The sequence below is a fragment of the Homo sapiens genome, chromosome 17 (genome assembly GCF_000001405.40).
Source record: "Homo sapiens chromosome 17, GRCh38.p14 Primary Assembly".
In the NCBI taxonomy this organism is placed as follows: domain Eukaryota; kingdom Metazoa; phylum Chordata; class Mammalia; order Primates; family Hominidae; genus Homo; species Homo sapiens.
Window position 1 is genome coordinate 4,424,960 of NC_000017.11, and position 16,834 is coordinate 4,441,793.

The 16,834-nt window shown below is 50.1% G+C and overlaps 1 protein-coding gene across 8 annotated transcripts in view, besides 2 other annotated features; it reads left to right on the top strand.

The window, feature by feature from the left end:
- SPNS3 (SPNS lysolipid transporter 3, sphingosine-1-phosphate (putative)) overlaps positions 8,981 to 16,834 on the top strand; it is a 54,265-nt gene continuing 46,411 nt past the window's right edge. For all 8 annotated transcript variants that reach the window (XR_934008.1, XM_047435588.1, NM_182538.5 and 5 more), the window contains exons 1-2: positions 8,981 to 9,207; positions 14,699 to 14,764. Coding sequence is in view for 6 of the 8 variants with exons in the window: in NM_182538.5 (NP_872344.3) it covers positions 9,009 to 9,207; positions 14,699 to 14,764 (265 nt within the window). In the remaining 2 variants the exon portion in view is untranslated. The remainder of the gene's footprint in view (positions 9,208 to 14,698; positions 14,765 to 16,834) is intronic.
- Positions 9,043 to 9,697: an enhancer, noted in NCBI's record as "H3K27ac-H3K4me1 hESC enhancer chr17:4337297-4337951 (GRCh37/hg19 assembly coordinates)". NCBI's record gives its function as "activates a minimal SCP1, AML or CMV promoter by ChIP-STARR-seq in naive H9 embryonic stem cells {active_cell/tissue: H9 hESC(naive)}" and the evidence as "EXISTENCE:reporter gene assay evidence [ECO:0000049][PMID:30033119]".
- Positions 14,430 to 14,930: an enhancer, noted in NCBI's record as "H3K4me1 hESC enhancer chr17:4342684-4343184 (GRCh37/hg19 assembly coordinates)". NCBI's record gives its function as "activates a minimal SCP1, AML or CMV promoter by ChIP-STARR-seq in naive H9 embryonic stem cells {active_cell/tissue: H9 hESC(naive)}" and the evidence as "EXISTENCE:reporter gene assay evidence [ECO:0000049][PMID:30033119]".

Below are 16,834 nucleotides of genomic sequence, written 5' to 3' on the forward strand. Positions count from 1 at the left end.
AGTTCAAGCGATTCTCCTGCCTCAGCTTCCCAAGTAGCTGGGACTACAGGCATGTGCCACCACGCCCAACTAATTTTTGTATTTTGTATTTTTTTTGACAGAGTCTTGCTCTGTCACCCAGGCTGGAGTGCAGTGACATAATCTCAGCTTACTGCAAGCTGTGCCTCCCGGGTTCACGCCATTCTCCTGCCTCAGCCTCCCGAGTGGCTGGGACTACAGGCGCCTGCCACCATGCCTGGCTAATTTTGTTTTTGTATTTTTAGTAGAGACGGGGTTTCACCATGTCAGCCAGGATGGTCTCGATCTCCTGACCTCGTAATCCGCCCACCTCAGCCTCCCAAAGTGCTGGGATTACAGGCGTGAGCCACCGCGCCCGGCTAATTTTTGTATTTTTAGTAGACACGGGGCTTCACCATTTTGGTCAGGCCAGTCTTGAACTCCTGACCTCGGGTGATCCGCCTGCCTCAGCCTCCCAAAGTGCTGGGATTACAGGTGCGAGCCCCTGCGCCTGGCCTCAATTTAACCATTTTTAAGTGTAAAGCTCAGAGGTACTAAATGCACTCACGTTGTGCAACCATTACCACCCTCCATCTGTGAAACTTTTTCATCATCCCCAACTGAAACTCTGTGCCCATTAAGCAATGACCCCATTTCTCACTCGCCCCCATTCAGTCCCTCCTAACCTCTATTCTACTTTTGGTCTCTGTAAATTCACATATTCTAGTCCAGGCGCCGTGGCTCTCATCTGTAATCCCAGTACCTTGAAAGGCCTGAGGTGGGCAGATTGCTTGAGCTCACGAGTTTGAGACCAGCCTTGGCAACGTGGCAAAACCCTGTCTCTACAAAAAATGCAAAAAATTAGCCAGCATGGTGGCGTGTGCCTGTAGTCCCAGCTACTCGGGAGGCAGAGGTGGGAGGATGGATTGAACCTGGGAGAAGGAAATTGCAATGAGCTGAGATTGTGCCACTGTACTCCAGCCTGGGTGACAGAGCCAGACCTTGTCATTCATAAATAAATAAATAAATGAATGAATAAAATAAATAAATGGCCGGGCGCGGTGGCTCAGGCTTGTAATCCCAGCACTTTGGGAGGCCAAGGCAGGAAGATCACCTGAGGTCAGAAGTTCGAGACCAGCCTGGCCAACATGGCAAAATCCCATCTCTACTAAAAATGCAAAAATTAGCTGGGCGTGGGGGGCACGTGCCTGTAATCCCAGCTACTCGGGAGGCTGAGGCAGGAGAATCGCTTGAACCCAGGAGGTGGAGGTTGCAGTGAGCTGAGATCGTTCCACTACACTCCAGCCTGGGTGACAGAGTGAGACTCCGTCTCAAAAAGAAACAAATAAATAAAATAAAATTAAAATTAATAATTAATTAAAAAATTCACTTATTCTATAAATCTCATATAAGTAGAATCATACAATCAATATTTATCTTTTGCATCTGGGTAATTTCACTCAGCATGATGTCTTCTTTTTTTTTTTTTTTTTTTGGAGACAGGGTTTTGCTCTGTCGCCCGGTCTGGAGTGCAATGGCACGATCGTAGCTCACTGCAGCGTCGAACTCCTGGCCTCAAGCCATCCTCCCACCTCAGCCTCCCCAGTAGCTGGTTTTAGAGGTGTGAGCCACCGCACCTGGCCAGTTGGATATATTCTAATGCTGCTCTCCTGGCTAACACCTAGCCTCCCTGACTTGCCCAACTCCTGGGAGTTCTGGCCTCAAGAACCCCTCCCTAGTCCCTGACTGGCTCTGAAAACCACCACAGCGTCTCTTTCTTGTTGGGTAAAGGTGAGGGCTGGACCCTGGAAAGGTCCTGTTTGGGGCAGCAGCTGCTAGGTGGGGGCTGCCAAGGTCCCCACTGCTGTGTGGTTTGCATGAGTGTGTGTGAGTGGGGGTGTGGGTGCTCGTGTGCCCACCTTCTCCTCATGCACTCACACTTGTGGATGTAGCTCTGCCCACTACTCTTTGGCTCTGAGGGCAGGGGCTGAGAACAAAGTTTCATCTACATGTGCTGGGGAAAACCCCATTATATTTAACACTCACAATACTTCCTCCATACCAAGCATAGTTCTAGGCACTTTTCAAACATCATCGTATTCAAGCCACAACAGTCCCATGAGGTGTGTACTATTTTTATCCCCATTTTATTTGTTTTATATTTATTTATTTTCAAGACAAGAGTCTTACTCTGTCGCCCAGGTGGGAGTGCAGTGGTGCGATCACGGCTCACTGCAGTCTTGATCTCCTGGGCTCAGGTGATCCTGGGATTACAGGCATGCACCACCATCCTTGGCTAATTTTTGTATCTGTATTTGTATTAAAAATTTTTTTTTTTAGTAGAGACGGGGTTTCACCATGTTGGTCAGGCTGGTCTCGAACTTCTGACCTCAGGTGATCCACCCGCCTCAGCCTCCCAAAGTGCTGGGATTACAGGCGTGAGCCACCGCGCCCGGCCTTAATTTTTACATTTTTAGTAGAGACGGGGTTTCGCCGTGTTGCCCAGGCTGATCTCCAACTCTGAACTCAAGCGATCTGCCTGTCCTGGCCTCCCAAAGTAATGGGATGACATTCACGAGCCACTGTGCCTGGCCATCCCCATTTTGTAGGTGAGAAAATTGAGATGGAGAGAGGTTGAGTGATCTGCCTGAGATCCTATGGCCAGTGAGCAGTGAGTCTAGCTGCGGAGTACAGGTTCTGAAGCAGGATGCGAGACCGCCTGCACGTGCGCATGGATGATCTTGAACTTCCCCTTCATTCACCAACTGTAGACCCCATGTGGGTGGTCACCGAGACGGTATGCGGCTGAACCAGGCAGTGGATGCCAAGGACCTCGTCATCATCGTCACCACCACAATAACAATACTCTACACTCTGTTTGTCACATGACAAGCTCTATGTTGGAAACAGTATGTGTATCTATATTAGTTCATCCTCACAATTAACCCCTGAAACATCGTCATATTATTCTCTTTTTAAGACTTACTGAGTCTTGCTCTTGTTGCCGAGGCTGGAGTACCATGGCGCAATCTCGGCTCACTGCAACCTCTACCTCCTGGGTTCAAGTGATTCTCCTGCCTCAGCCTCCCGAGTAGCTGGGATTACAGGCATGCACCACCACGCCCGGCTAAGTTTTTATATTTTTAGTAGAGACGGGGTTTCACCATGTTGGCCAGACTGGTTTCAAACTCCTGACCTCAGGTGATCTGCCTGCCTTGGCCTCCCAAAGTGCTGGGATTACAGGCATGAGCCACAACGCCCAACCCATCTTATTATTCTCTATCACAAATGAGAACACTGGTTGGGCGCAGTGGCTCGTGCCTTAATCCCAGCACTTTGGGAGGCCGAAGCAGGCAGATCACCTGAAGTCAGGAGTTCGAGACCAGCCTAGTCAGTATGGCGAAAGCCTGTCTCTACTAAAAATACAAAAAATTATCCAGGCGTGGTGGCTCACGCCTGTAATCCCGGCACTTTGGGAGGGCGAGGCAGGCAGAACACCTGAACTCAGGAATTCGAGACCAGCCCAGTCAGCATGACGAAATCCTGTCTCTACTAAAAATACAAAAAATTATCCACGCATGGTGGCTCATGCCTGTAATCTCAGCGCTTTGGGAGGCCAAGGCAGGCGGATCACCTGAAGTCAAGAATTCTAGACCAGCCTGGTCAGCAAGGCGAAAGCCTGTCTCTACTAAAAATACAAAAAATTATCTGGGCATGGCAGTGTGTGCCAGTAGTCCGAGCTATTCGGGAGGCTGAGGCAGGAGAATGGCTTGAACCCAGGAGGCGGAGGTTGCAGTGAGCTGAGATTGCACAGTTGCTCTCCAGCCTGGGGCGACTCTGTCTCTAAACAAGAAAACAAATGAGAACTCGGAGGCTCAGAGAGGTTAGAGACTTGCCTGAGGCACACAACTAGAAAGTAGCAAAATTTGATTTTGAATCCAGGCCGGTCAGACTGTAAAGCTCCTACTTTTTTGTTTGTTTGCTTTAACTTTTTTTTAAAGAAATAGGATCTTGCTGTGTTGCCCAGGTTGTTCTCAAACTCCTGGGCTCAAGCAATCCTCTTACTTCAGCCTCTCAAGTAGCTGAAACTATAGGCACGAGCCATCAAGCCCGGCTTCTTTAATGTTTTTTAAAAATTGAGGTAATTACATTACTTAAAATTGTAACCATTTTAAAGGATATAATTCAGTGGCATTGAGTGGATTCAGAGTGTTGTGACACCATCTCCTCTATCTAGTTTTGAAACATTTTCATCACTCTCCAAGGGGACTGTCTTCCCATTAAGCATTTTCCTCTCCTCTTAGCCTCTAGGAACCATTTACTTTCTGTTTCTGTGACTATACCTGTGCAGGATATTTTCTATAAATGGAATCATACAATATGTGGCCTTTTGTGTCTGGTGTCTTTCACTTAGCATAATGTTTTCTTTTTTTTTTTTTCCGAGACGGAGTCTCACTCTGTCGCCCAGGCTGGAGTGCAGTGGCACAATCTCGGCTCACTGCAACCTCCACCTCCTAGGTTCAAGCCATTGTCCTGCCTCAGCCTTCTGAGTAGCTGGGATTACAAGTGCGGTGCCACCACACCCGGATTATTTTTGTATTTTTAGTAGAGATGGAGTCTCACCTTGTTGATCAGCCTGGTCTCAAACTCTTGACCTCAGGTGATCTGTCTGCCTCGGGCTCCCAAAGTGCTGGGATTACAGGCGTGAGCCACTGTGACCAGCCAGCATAATGTTTTTAAGGTCTATCCGTGTTGTAGCATGAATCAGTACTTCCTTCCTCTTTATGACTGGATACTATTCCATTGTATGATTATGCCACATTTTCTTGACCCATTTATCAGATGGGCGTTTAAGCTGTTTCCACCTTTTGGCTGTTATGAACAGTGCTGCCATGAACATTTATGTACAAGTATTTGTTTGAGTCTTTGTTTTCTTTTCTTTTCTTTTTTTTTTTTCTTTTTTTGAGACAGAGTGACAAAGTTGCTCTGTTGCCCCAGCTAGAGTACAGTGGTCCCATCTTGGCTCATTGCAACCTCTCCCTCCAGGGTTCAAACAATTGTCATGCCTCAGCCTCCCGAGTAGCTGGGACTACAGGTGTGTGCCACTATGCCCAGCTAAATTTTTTGGATTTTTTAGTAAAGACGGGGTTTCACCATGTTGGTCAGGTTGATTTCAAACTCTTTTTTTTTTTTTTTTGAGATGGAATCTCACCCTGTCGCCCAGGCTGGAGTGCAGTGGCGTGATCTTGGCTCACTGTAAGCTCCGCCTCCTGGGTTCATGCCATTCTCATGCCTCAGCCTCCTGAGCAGCTGGGACTACAGGCGCCCGCCACCATGCGCAGCTAACTTTTTGTATTTTTAATAGAGGTAGGGTTTCACCGTGTTAGCCAGGATGGTCTCGATCTCCTGACCTTGTGATCTACCTGCCTCAGCCTCCCAAAGTGCTGGGATTACAGGTGTGAGCCACCGCGCCCAGCCTTGAACTCTTGACCTCAAGCGATCCGTCTGCCTTGGCCTCCCAAAGTGCTGAGATTAGAGGCTCAAAATAGTCTTTGTTTTCAATTCTTTTTTTTTTTTTTTTTTTTTTTGAGACAGAGTCTTACTCTGTCACCCGGGCTGGAGTGCAGTGGTGCAATGTAGGCTCACTGCAATCTCTGCCACCTGGGTTCAAGTGATTCTCCTGCCTCAGCCTCCCGAGTAGCTGGGATTACAGGCGCCTGCCACCGTGCCTGGATAATTTTTTTGTAGTTTTAGTAGAGACAGGGTTTCACTGTCTTCGCCAGGCTGGTCTTGAACTCCTGACATCGTGATCCACCTGCCTCGGCCTCCCAAAGTGCTGGGATTACAGGTGTGAGCCACTGTACCTGGCCTGTTTTCAGTTCTTTTGGATATATACCTAGGATTGGAATTGCAGGGCCATATGGTAATTTTATGTTTAACCTTTGGAGGAACTGCCAAACTTTGTTCCACTGCGGCTGCCTTACTCCACATTCCCAGCAATGCATGAGGCTTTCAATCTCTCCACCAACATTTGTTATTTCCTCTCTCTCTCTTTTTAAAATTATAGCCGTCTTAGTGGGTACGAACTGATATCTTATGGTGGCTTCAATCTGCCATTTTCCTAATGACTTGTGATGTTGAACATTTTTCTTTCTTTTTTTTTTTTTCCCCCGAGATGAAGTCTCGCTCTGTCACCCAGGCTAGAGTGCAGTGGTGTGATCTCAGCTCACCGCAACCTCTGCCACCCGGGTTCAAGCAGTTCTCCTGCCTCAGCCTCCTAAATAGCTGGGATTACAGACACATGCCACCACGCCCAGCTAATTTTTGTATTTTTAGTAGATATGGAGTTTCACTATGTTGGCCAGGCTGGTCTCGAACTCCCAACCTTGTGATCCACCCACCTGAGCCTCCTAAAGTGCTGGGATTGCAGGCGTGAGCTACTGTGCCCAGCCTGAACATCTTTTTATGTGCTTGTCGGTCACCTGTATATCTTCAGAGAAATGTCTGTTCAACTCCTTGGCCCATTTTTGTCCCCCTGATGTTTTTTTTCTTTAGAGATGGGATCTCACTCTGTTGCCCAAGCTGGAGTACAGTGGCATGATTATAGCTCACTGTGGCCTCAACCTCCCAGGCTTAAGTGATCCTTCCACCTCAGCCTCCAGAGTAGCTGGGACTACAGGTCCATGCCACTATGCCCGGCTCTTCACCCATTTTTAAATTGGTTTGTCATTTTATGCTTTAACTTTTTGTTTAGATATAATTTATAACTTATAGAAAGTTTATCATATAGCGTAAAGAAACTCTTATAATCTTTACCCAGATTCATCTATTATTAATATTTGCCCCATTTGTTTTCTTACTATACATATCTAATATTTTTTCCTGAACCGTTTGAGAATGAGTGGCATAAATCATGGCCCTGTACCTCTAGATACTTCAGATAAGGATATTTACTTATTTACTTACATAACCATAGTTCACAGATGCTGATATGCTATTTCTTCCTGATCCAGTTTTATCAGTTGATCCAGTACAGGAGCGAGGTTGGGATCCTGTACTGCTCTTAATTGTCTTATTGTCTTGTCTCTCTTTTTTTTTTTTTTTTTTTTGAGACGGAGTCTTGTTCTGTCACCCAGGCTAGAGTGCAGTGGCACGATCTTGGCTCACTGCAACCTCTGCCTCCCGGGTTCACATGATTCTCCTGCCTCAGCCTCCTGAGTAGCTGGGACTACAGGTGCACACCACCACACCCAGCTACTTTTTTGTGTATTTTTAGTAGAGACAGGGTTTCACTATGTTGGCCAGACTGGTCTCGAACTCCTGACCTCGTGATCCGCCCGCCTGGGCCTCCCAAAGTGCTGGGATTACAGGCATGAGCCACCGCGCCTGGCCTATCTTGTCTCTTTGTTGCTTTTAATCCAAAACAGTCCCTCAGAATATTTTTTTTTTTTCGAGACAGAGTTTTGCTCTTGTTGCCCAGGCTGGAGTGTAATGGCGTGATCTTGGCTCACCACAACCTGTGCCTCCCGGGTTCAAGCAATTCTCCTGCCTCAGCCTCCCGAGTAGCTGAGATTACAGGCACCTGCCACCATGCCTAGTTAGTTTTGTATTTTTAGTAGAGACGGGGTTTCTCCACATTGGTCAGGCTGATCTTGAACTCCCGACCTCAGGTGATCCACCTGCCTCGGCCTCCCAAAGTGCTGGGATAACAAGCGTGAGCCACCACGCCTAGCTCCCTCAGTCTTTCTTAGTCTTTCATGACTCTGACATTTTTCAATATACAGTCCCTTTAAAGAAATAGTGTTTCTCAATTTGGGCTTGTCTGATGTTTTTTCATTTTAAAAATTAAAAAAAAAATTTTTTTTTTTGAGTTGGGGTCTTGCTTTGTCACCCAGCCTGGAGTGCAGTGGCACGAACATGGCTCACTGCAGCCTCGACTTCCCAGGCTAAGGCGATCCTTCCTACCTCAGCCTCCCAAGTAGCTGGGACTGTGGACGCACACCACTACACCCGGCTATTTTTTTTTAAAATTTTTTATTTTTTTGGTATTTTTGTAGCAATGGGGTTTCACCATGTTGCCCAGGCTGGTCACAAACTTCTGGGCTTGGATGATCCTCCTGTCTTGGCCTCCCAGTGTTAGGATTACAGGTGCGAGCCACCGCGTCTGGCTGATGTCTTCTCATGATGAGATTCCGGTTGTGCCTTCCTGGCTGGAATGCCACATAGATGATGCTGTGACCTGCGAAGACCTTCACATCTGGAGGCACACGACACCCTCCTGCCTCTCACAGGTGATTTATTTTAACCCCTTGGTCAAGATGTCTGATTCCTCTACTGTATAGTTACTCTTTTTCCTTTTGTTACTAATAAGCAATCTATCAAGAGATGCTTCGTGACCGTGCTGACACCCTCCCCCCTCACTGAAGTCTTCCCCCCAGATTTAGCCCCCACTGATGAGTTTTGCACACAGGCTGTCTTCTTGTAGGCAGCCCCCTCTGCTACCTTTGTTTTTCCGGGAAGGACCTTAGATCCTGGGTAGGTGCTCATCCTGCCTGGCAGTCGAGTGCAATGCTGCTGTCCTGGCCAATGCCCAGCCTTCCTCATTTGCCCCGGCTTCAAGGCATTGGTTCACAGTCCCGTACGGGCAGCTAGACCATCTCACAGCAAGCAGCACTCTGGGAGGCTCATCTCATTTCCTGCCCTGGAAGCTTCCCTTCCTCACTGCAGCCACTGAAGCTGCAGGCTAGATCAAGGGGACCACAGAGTTGTCCAGTCCCCAGGGTGGGGGTGCCAGGAGCCCTTGTCCTCCGTAGCAGGTCTCAGAGGCTGACGATGGGGAAATCGCACTGGTGAAGCTGCCGTGGGGTCAGGAGGAACCTGCGATAAGACGCCCAACAGTTAGGGCAGGTGCTTTGAGGTTTGGAGCCTGGGACCCCACAGGAAGTGACTTCGTGCTGAGCTAATGTTGCTTCATCCTGGCGCCAGTCTCAGGCCAAGAGCTGCAGGCTGGCATGGCTGGGGGGATGTCAGCGGAGTGCCCTGAGCCTGGGCCAGGAGGTCTGCAGGGCCAGTCCCCAGGGCCAGGCAGGCAGTGTCCCCCTCCCATCACGCCCACCTCCTGGAGCCTGCCCCCGTGGAGGGCCTACGTGGCTGCCGCCGTCCTCTGCTACATCAACCTCCTGAATTACATGAACTGGTTCATCATTGCAGGTGAGGAGGGGATGGCTACCCTGGGCAGTACCTGCTGCTGTGCCCACCAGCCAGGGGCTGCAGATCCATGGTGGCCTTCCAGCCATCACCCATCTTTCTGCTCCTGGGCCCATCTCTGGTGTTCTCACCTCTAGAGGTGGTTTTCAGCTGTGCTCGAATCGGGGAGGACCAACTGATGTTCCCAATCCAGCCTCAACTAAGAAGGGACACAGGCTGGGCATGGTGGCTCCCGCTTGTAATTCCAGCACTTTGGGAGGCTGAGGCAGGAAGATTGCTTGAGCCCAGGAGTTTGAGACCAACCTGGACAACATAGTGAGACTCTGTCTCTATTTATTTATTTTTTTTTTTGAGACAGAGTCTCGCTCTGTCGCCCAGGCTGGAGTGTAGTGGCGCAATCTCAGCTCACTGCAACCTCTGTCTCCCAGGTTCAAGTGATTCTCCTGCCTCAGCCTCCCGAGTAGCTGGGATTACAGGCGTGCACCACCACATCCGGCTAATTTTTGTATTTTGAGTAGAGGAGGAGTAGGGACGGGGTTTTACCATGCTAGTCAGGCTGGTCTCGAACTCCTGACCTCAGGTGATCCACCCGCCTCGGCCTCCCAAAGTGCTGGGATTACAGGCATGAGCCACCGTGCCCGGCCTTTTTTTTTTTTCTTGAGACAGAGTCTCAATCTGTTGCCCAGGCTGGAGTGCAGTGGCGCGATCTCGGCTCACTGCAACTTCTGCCTCCCAGGTTCAAGCGATTCCTATCTCAGCCTCCCGAGTAGCTGGGACTACAGGCGCATACCACCATGCCAGGCTAGTTTTTGTATTTTTAGTAGAGACGGGGTTTTGCCGTGTATGCCAGGCTGTCTCGAACTCCAGACCTCAGGTGATCCGCCTGCCTCGGCCTCCCAAAGTGTTGGGATTATAGGCATGAGCCCCTGCGCCCAGCCGAAACTCTGTCTCTATTTAAAAAATTAAAAATATTTTAGGGCTGGGTGCGGTGGCTCAGGCCTGTAATCCCAGCACTGTGGGAGGCCAAGGTGGGCGGATCACTTGAAGTGAGGACTTTGTGACCAGCCTGGGCAACATGGTGAAACCCCGTCTCTACTAAAACTACAAAAATTAGCCGAGCATGGTAGCGGGCACCTGTAATCTCAGCTACTGGGGAGGCTGAGGCAGAGAATTGCTTGAACCTGGGAGGTGGATGTTGCAGTGAGCCGAGATCCCACCATTGAGCCAAGATCCCACCATTGCACTCCAGTCTGGGCGACAGAGCAAGGCTCTGTCTCAAAAAAAAAAAAATAAAAAATAAAAAATAAATAAATAAATAAATATTTTTTAAAAATTAAGGGAGGGCACAGTGGGGGTGGGGCCAGAGACATAATGAGGGGTGGGTGGGTGAGGACAGCAGGCAGGACTTCCAGGCAGAGGCCCCCAGGTTCTAGGTGGAGGACAGGGTAGCCTGGGCCAGACAAGAATAGCTCCTGCTGGCTGTGTTTCTAGGACAACAGGCTGCTCGCAAACCTCACACGTCCTGCCTTCCTTCTTGCAGGCTTCAGGGCTCAACCTGCTCTGTCTTCTGTCACTCATTCACTAACTCACTCACTCATTCATTCATTCAAGACTGATCAGGGGCCAGGCGTGGTGGCTCACGCCTGTAATCCCAGCTACTCGGGAGGCTGAGGCAGGACAGTCGCTTGAACCCGGGAGGCGGAGGTTGCGGTGAGCTGAGATCGTGCCACTGCACTCCAGCCTGGGCGACAGAGCGAGACTCCGTCTCAAACAAAGACAACAACAATAACAACAGCTGATTGAGGCTCCACTTGCTCTTCTCTTCTTGTCATTCATTCATTCAAGACCGGCTGAGCACTAACTGTGGGCAGGACCCCCTGCTGGCTGCTGTGGACCCAGGGAGGAAATCGGACTTGGAGTTCCTGAACTCAGGAATGACCATCTCATGGGGCAGAGATAGAGGCTGGTTGATGGCAGTCCTGCGAGGCGGAGAGGTGCGGCCAGACAAGGGGGAGGCACAGGCCGGGCTGGGAGCTCAGGAGGGTGCCTGCAGCTGCCAGGCATCTCTGAGACCTGGGCATCGATCTGTCAGTTACCAGCTCAGCATGCCAGAGAGTGGCTATGGAATCATGAAACTCTAGGGGCTGCAGAGCCATCCCCAGACCTGGTCATCGTCTTTGAGGAGCTCAGAGGTCAGGAGCTTCTCCTCACATGAGGTCAGGAGTTCGAGACCAGCCTGGGTAACATAGAAAAACCTTGTCTCTACAAAAAATTTAAAAAATTAGCCAGGGACAGTGATGTCTTCAGCCTCTCGGGAGGCTGAAGCAGGAGGATTGCTTGAGGCTGAAGCAGGAGGATTGCTTGAGGCTGAAGCGGGAGGATTGCTTGAGGCTGCGGTGAGCCCTCTAGCCTGAGTGACAGAGCAAGATCTTATCTAAACCCCTAAAGACAAAAAGCCAAAACAAAGCAAAACAAAACACATGAAACAAAAAACCCCAAAGGGGTGTATGGGGTGAGAACAGAGCTTCTTGGGTGCCAGACTGGGAGCTTGGACTTTCTGCCTTGGGCAATGGGGAGCCATATAATTGGATTTGAGGCCCTGATGGAGGCAAAATGAGCCAGGGAGTCAGTTCAGAGGCTGCTGTAGTGGATCAGGCCAAAGCTGAGGAGGCCTGAGTTGGAGTGTGGGCCAAGGGCACGCAAAGGCGAGAAGGGGCAAGAGGTGGATGGGAGCCAGGAATCACCAGTGTGGAGCTCTCTGAACCCACGAGCCTGGGGACCCGCTATCTCTGCCGCTAGCCCTGGAGGTCCCTGGCTGGGCCCTAAGACCCTGAGTCTTGCCTGTCCAGGTCCCTTCTCCATCAGCACTTCCTCTGTATGTGCAAGAAAGGGGGCTGTGGTTACTGTGGGGATAGAGACCTGGAGAAGTGAAACCGTGCTGAGCATCTGGGAACTGGTGGGGGTAAACAGCTAAAATGTTCTTGCAGGAAACAGCTCTTATGGGGCCAGGGTGGTAGGCTACAGATGAAAGCAAGGGTGGGTGCACGCTTGGCTCTGGATCACCTCTAGAGTACCATGGGGCTGAGAGGAGCCCAGGAGGAGAGAAAACAAGGGGATGAGTCCTCATTCCTGAAAATGGAAGATGGGCACAATTTGGAGCATTTTCGTTTAGCTATTTATTTTGCTTACCTGTGTTGTCTCCTTTTTTTCTTTCCAATGACTGTCTTCTTTGTGTATTTAAAATAATAAAAGGGGGACTTTGAGAGGCCGAGGCAGGTGGATCACCTGAGATCAGGAGTTCGAGACCAGACTGGCCAAAATGGTGAAACCCCGTCTCTACTAAAAATACAAAAATTAGCCAGGCGTGATGGCGGGCACCTGTAATCCCAGCTACTTGGGAGGCCGAGGCAGGAAAATTGCCTGAACCCAGGAGGCAGAGGTTGCAGTGAGCTGAGATCGTGTCACTGCACTTCAGCCTGGATGAAATAGTGAGATTCAGTCTCAAAAATAAATAAATAAAATAAAAATAAAAAACAAAATATTAAAAGGGGAAAAAGACATAACAGTTTGTATGCCAGGTTGCAGTGGCAATTGGGGACAAATTAAATGTCTAAACAAAGATTTCTTTTTTTTTTTTTTTGGAGACGGAGTCTCACTCTGTCGCCCAGGCTGGAGTGCAGTGGCATGATCTCAGCTCACTGCAACCTCCGCCTCCCAGGTTCAAGCGATTCTCCTGCCTCAGCCTCCTGAGTAGCTGGGACTACAGGCCTGTGCCACAACATCTGGCTAATTTTTTGTATTTTTAAATAGAGATGGGATTTCACTGTGTTAGCCACGATGGTCTTGATCTCCTGACCTCAAGATCTGCCGGCCTCGGCCTCCCAAAGTGCTGGGATTACAGGCGTGAGCCACCACGTCCCTCCCTGAGCAAGGATTTTTTGCTTTGCTCCTCTGATCCCTTGATCTTCATGTGCATGGGGCAGCTCTTAGAGGTGTGCACGCAGGGCTTTCTTGGTGTGGGTGTTTCTGCGGGGACCCACTTGGGGGCTTCTGCTCCCCTTCTGTGGTTCTGGGTGTGTGGACAGGCTGCCTCTGGCTGAGATTTGAGCCCCAGCTCCCCCAGCTTCAGACGGGCAACCTTGGGCCGCTAAAGCCTCTGTTTCCTCATCTGTAGAATGGGGGCAATGACAGTCCCCCTCTTTTAGGATGACAACTGCGAGTGTACAGCTCAGGGCCTGGCTGTCAGTCACCTCCTGACTGATGAAAGTGAGGATTGTTCTTCTTCATAATAATGACAGGGCCAGAGCCGCATGGCTCACGTGAGCAGGTGCTGCAGACCCCGACCCTTTCTAGGACACCAAGAGGCTATCAGGAAACAGACCCTGGTGTCTGGGAGACCCACTTTCTCTCTCTACATTAGGCTGGGTGCCCACTGCTGTGCCTCTGGAAGAACAGGCTTGTGTGTGCACATGCGTGCAAGCCAGGACACGTTCGTCTTTTTATGTACATGTTCACCTATGCATTTCCAGTGTTTGTGCATGAGCGAGGCCACTGTGCTGTACAGCTCCAGGGACTTCCGTTTACACAGTGGCCTAAGTAAAGGGCTGTGCACTGAGCAGCGACAGGGGGCTGCCGCTCCTCTGACTGCAGTGTGGATGGCAGCCCTGAGCCTGTGCATACGCGGGCAGGCCTCTGGGTGCACATCTCACTGCACATGTGTCTGTGTGTCTGGGTGTATGAGTGAGGCTGGGTGTACATGTCTGTGAGAGTGAGTTCCTGTGTGTGTGTGTGTGTGTGTGTGTATTTGTGCCTCTGCAGGTGTGTTTCTCTGGGAATGCCTGTTTGTATCTATATCTGTGTTCCCATATGAAGAGGAGGGAAGGAGCCGTGTGGCTGCGTGCTTATGTGTCAGTGTGTGTGTGTGAATGTCTGTGCCTTTGGGATGCTTCTTTCTTTCTTTTTCTTTCTTTTTTTTTTGAGATGGAGCGTGGCTCTTGTTGCCCAGGCTGGAGTGCAATGGCGCGATCTCGGCTCACTGCAACCTCCACCTCCCAGGCTCAAGCAATTCTCCTGCCTCAGCCTCCCGAGTAGCTGGGATTACAGGCGCCCGCCACCACGTCCGGCTAATTTTTTGTACTTTTAGTAGAGACGGGGTTTCACCACGTTGACCATGGCTGGTCTCAAGCTCCTGACCTCAGGTGATCCGCCAGCCTTGGCCTCCCAAACTGCTGAGATTACAGGCGTGAGCCACCGTGCCCAGCCAAGGGATGCTTGTTTCTTTGAGTGTTTGAAATGCACACGTTTCTCTGTGTGCCTGCTCTTGTGTGTGTGGTTGTACAGCTGTATGGGAGAGAGGGGGAGAGAACAGTGGGCTTGGGTGCCATGCCCTGTGCTGTGCTGGTCAGCTGTGGCCCTGTGCCAAACCTGGAGCAGCTGCCTTTAGAGGCCAGGAGGGCTACTTCCCGTTTCCTGAGCACTGTCCCTCTGTCTGCAGGAGTGCTGCTGGATATACAGGAGGTTTTCCAGATCAGTGACAACCATGCTGGTTTGCTTCAGACTGGTAAGGAGGAGCCCTGGCTCTGGAGCCGGGGCCCTGGGTTCATGCTGGGGTGGGCTCTTTCTGTGGGTCATGTTCTGTGCCCAGCTCCAGCCCCACTGGGTCCCCTGGCACAGAGGGTGGGTGGGGTATGGGCCTGAGGGACAGTCTAGGCAGGAGCAGGAGAGAGCCTGGGCTGGAACAGCCATGGTAGTTTGAGTGTAGGGTGCCGCGGGAGAGCAGGGGGAGGTGGGGCTGGGAGAGGTCCCTCAGCCTCAGGTCCTCGCTGTGGAGCTGGCCATTCCTTCCCTTCGTGTTGGTGAGGCTCAGCGGTGCACCAGAGGCTTGCTGGGCTTTGAGAAATCCTGATGTGTGCTTTCCTCTCACAGAACTGAAAAATCTGACTACTGGGACACACAAAGTCAAACAGACAGACACAGACAGGCACATCCCCCCACATGGGCTCAGATGGACTCTGGGCCCACAGACAGCCTGACACCCAGCAGCAGGGAGCAGCCACACGTCCCATCGCAACATCAGAGCGGTTGGGGTCATGAGGCGTTAGCTTTTCCCTTGTGGGTGCCTGGATGGTGACACACACCCACAGTGTGCATATCCACACACCCACATGTGCACACACATGGTCACAACACGTGATACGCCTGTGCACACACCCAGGCTGTAACCAGCAGGCACCGAGGGTCCTCACAGTCCATCATCTCAGGGCTTTAGAACATGGCTCTTAAACCGGGGTACAGGGATCCCTGGGGATACACAGTCACTTTCCAGGGGTTACATGAACACAGAGAGTTTTGAGAGACTGATTTATTTCTAGATTCTCAAGCCTGTATGTTTTTTTCCTAAAATGACCTGCCTGAGGGGGAGCCTGTGGTCGGCCTGTGGTTCTCCTTCCTCTCCTTCCATTGTACAATTCCCTGTCTACCATGGTAAACAGAAAGGGACTCCTCTCCGCATCCTGGATGTGCTGCTCCTGGGTGTAAAAACCTCTGGGGTATCAAACAGAGGCCCCTGCGTGGATGCTCGGCTTTTCCCAGGGGGACCTTGGGAGCAAAGCAGAGAGCATCAAGAGAAACGTGCTGGGGAGATTTGCCCCAGGCTACAAGCGCAGGCAAGGAGCCAAGCCTTATCTAGCTGTTCCCGTGTGCAGTGTCTACTATTTATCTACAAATTAGAATTCAAAGTGAGATAGCGGTCTCAGGGATGCATGTCAACACATTTCTTTCAATGAAAGAAAATGAAGCCAACATTTTTCTTATAATCAGTTTGACGTCTAATTGCTTTGGCAAAAGAGGACAGGCATTATTACTTAGATTCTACTGTAGACATTTCCCATAAACTGAATAAACTCAACCCTGTAGCTCCAAGAGTTTGGATGAAAATACAGTTTAAAAAAATACACAACAACGCTGGAAATCCCATCCTTGGCAACGATTCAAACTTGGGATAAGAACATTTTAATGTTAGCTGAAAATGTGTGGAGGAGTACATAGTTCTAGAAACTTCTTTAAGAGTGACATGAGAGCCAGGTGCAGTGGCTCACGCCTGTAATCCCAGCTCTTAGGGAGGCAGAGGCGGGAGAATAGCTTGAGCCCAGGAGTTCGAGACCTGCTTGGGCAATATAGTGAGACCCTATTCTCCACAGAAAGGAAAAAAAAAAGACAAAAGAGTTACGTGAGCAACAGTTAGAAGATCATGGCTTTAGAACATGCATGGTTTCCAATTGCCCCTCAATCTTGTGGCCAAGAGACAGCAGCTGATGCTGATCTTCCAGCCATATCTGTGGCCAAAGTGAGACCATCTTGGTTCAACACCCACAACCTTCTCGATTAAATAGATAATGGTGGTTTAGTCAACATTTCCCTTCACTGGTTCTTTTTTTTTCCTTTTTTTCTTGAGACGGAGTTTTGCTCTTATTGCTCAGGCTGGAGTGCAATGGCATGATCTCGGCTCACTGCAACCTCTGACTCCTGGGTTCAAGTGATTCTCCTGCCTCAGCCTCCCAAGTAGCTGGAATTACAGGCACCTGCCATCATGCCAGGCTGATTTTTGTACTTTTAATAGAGATGGTGGGGG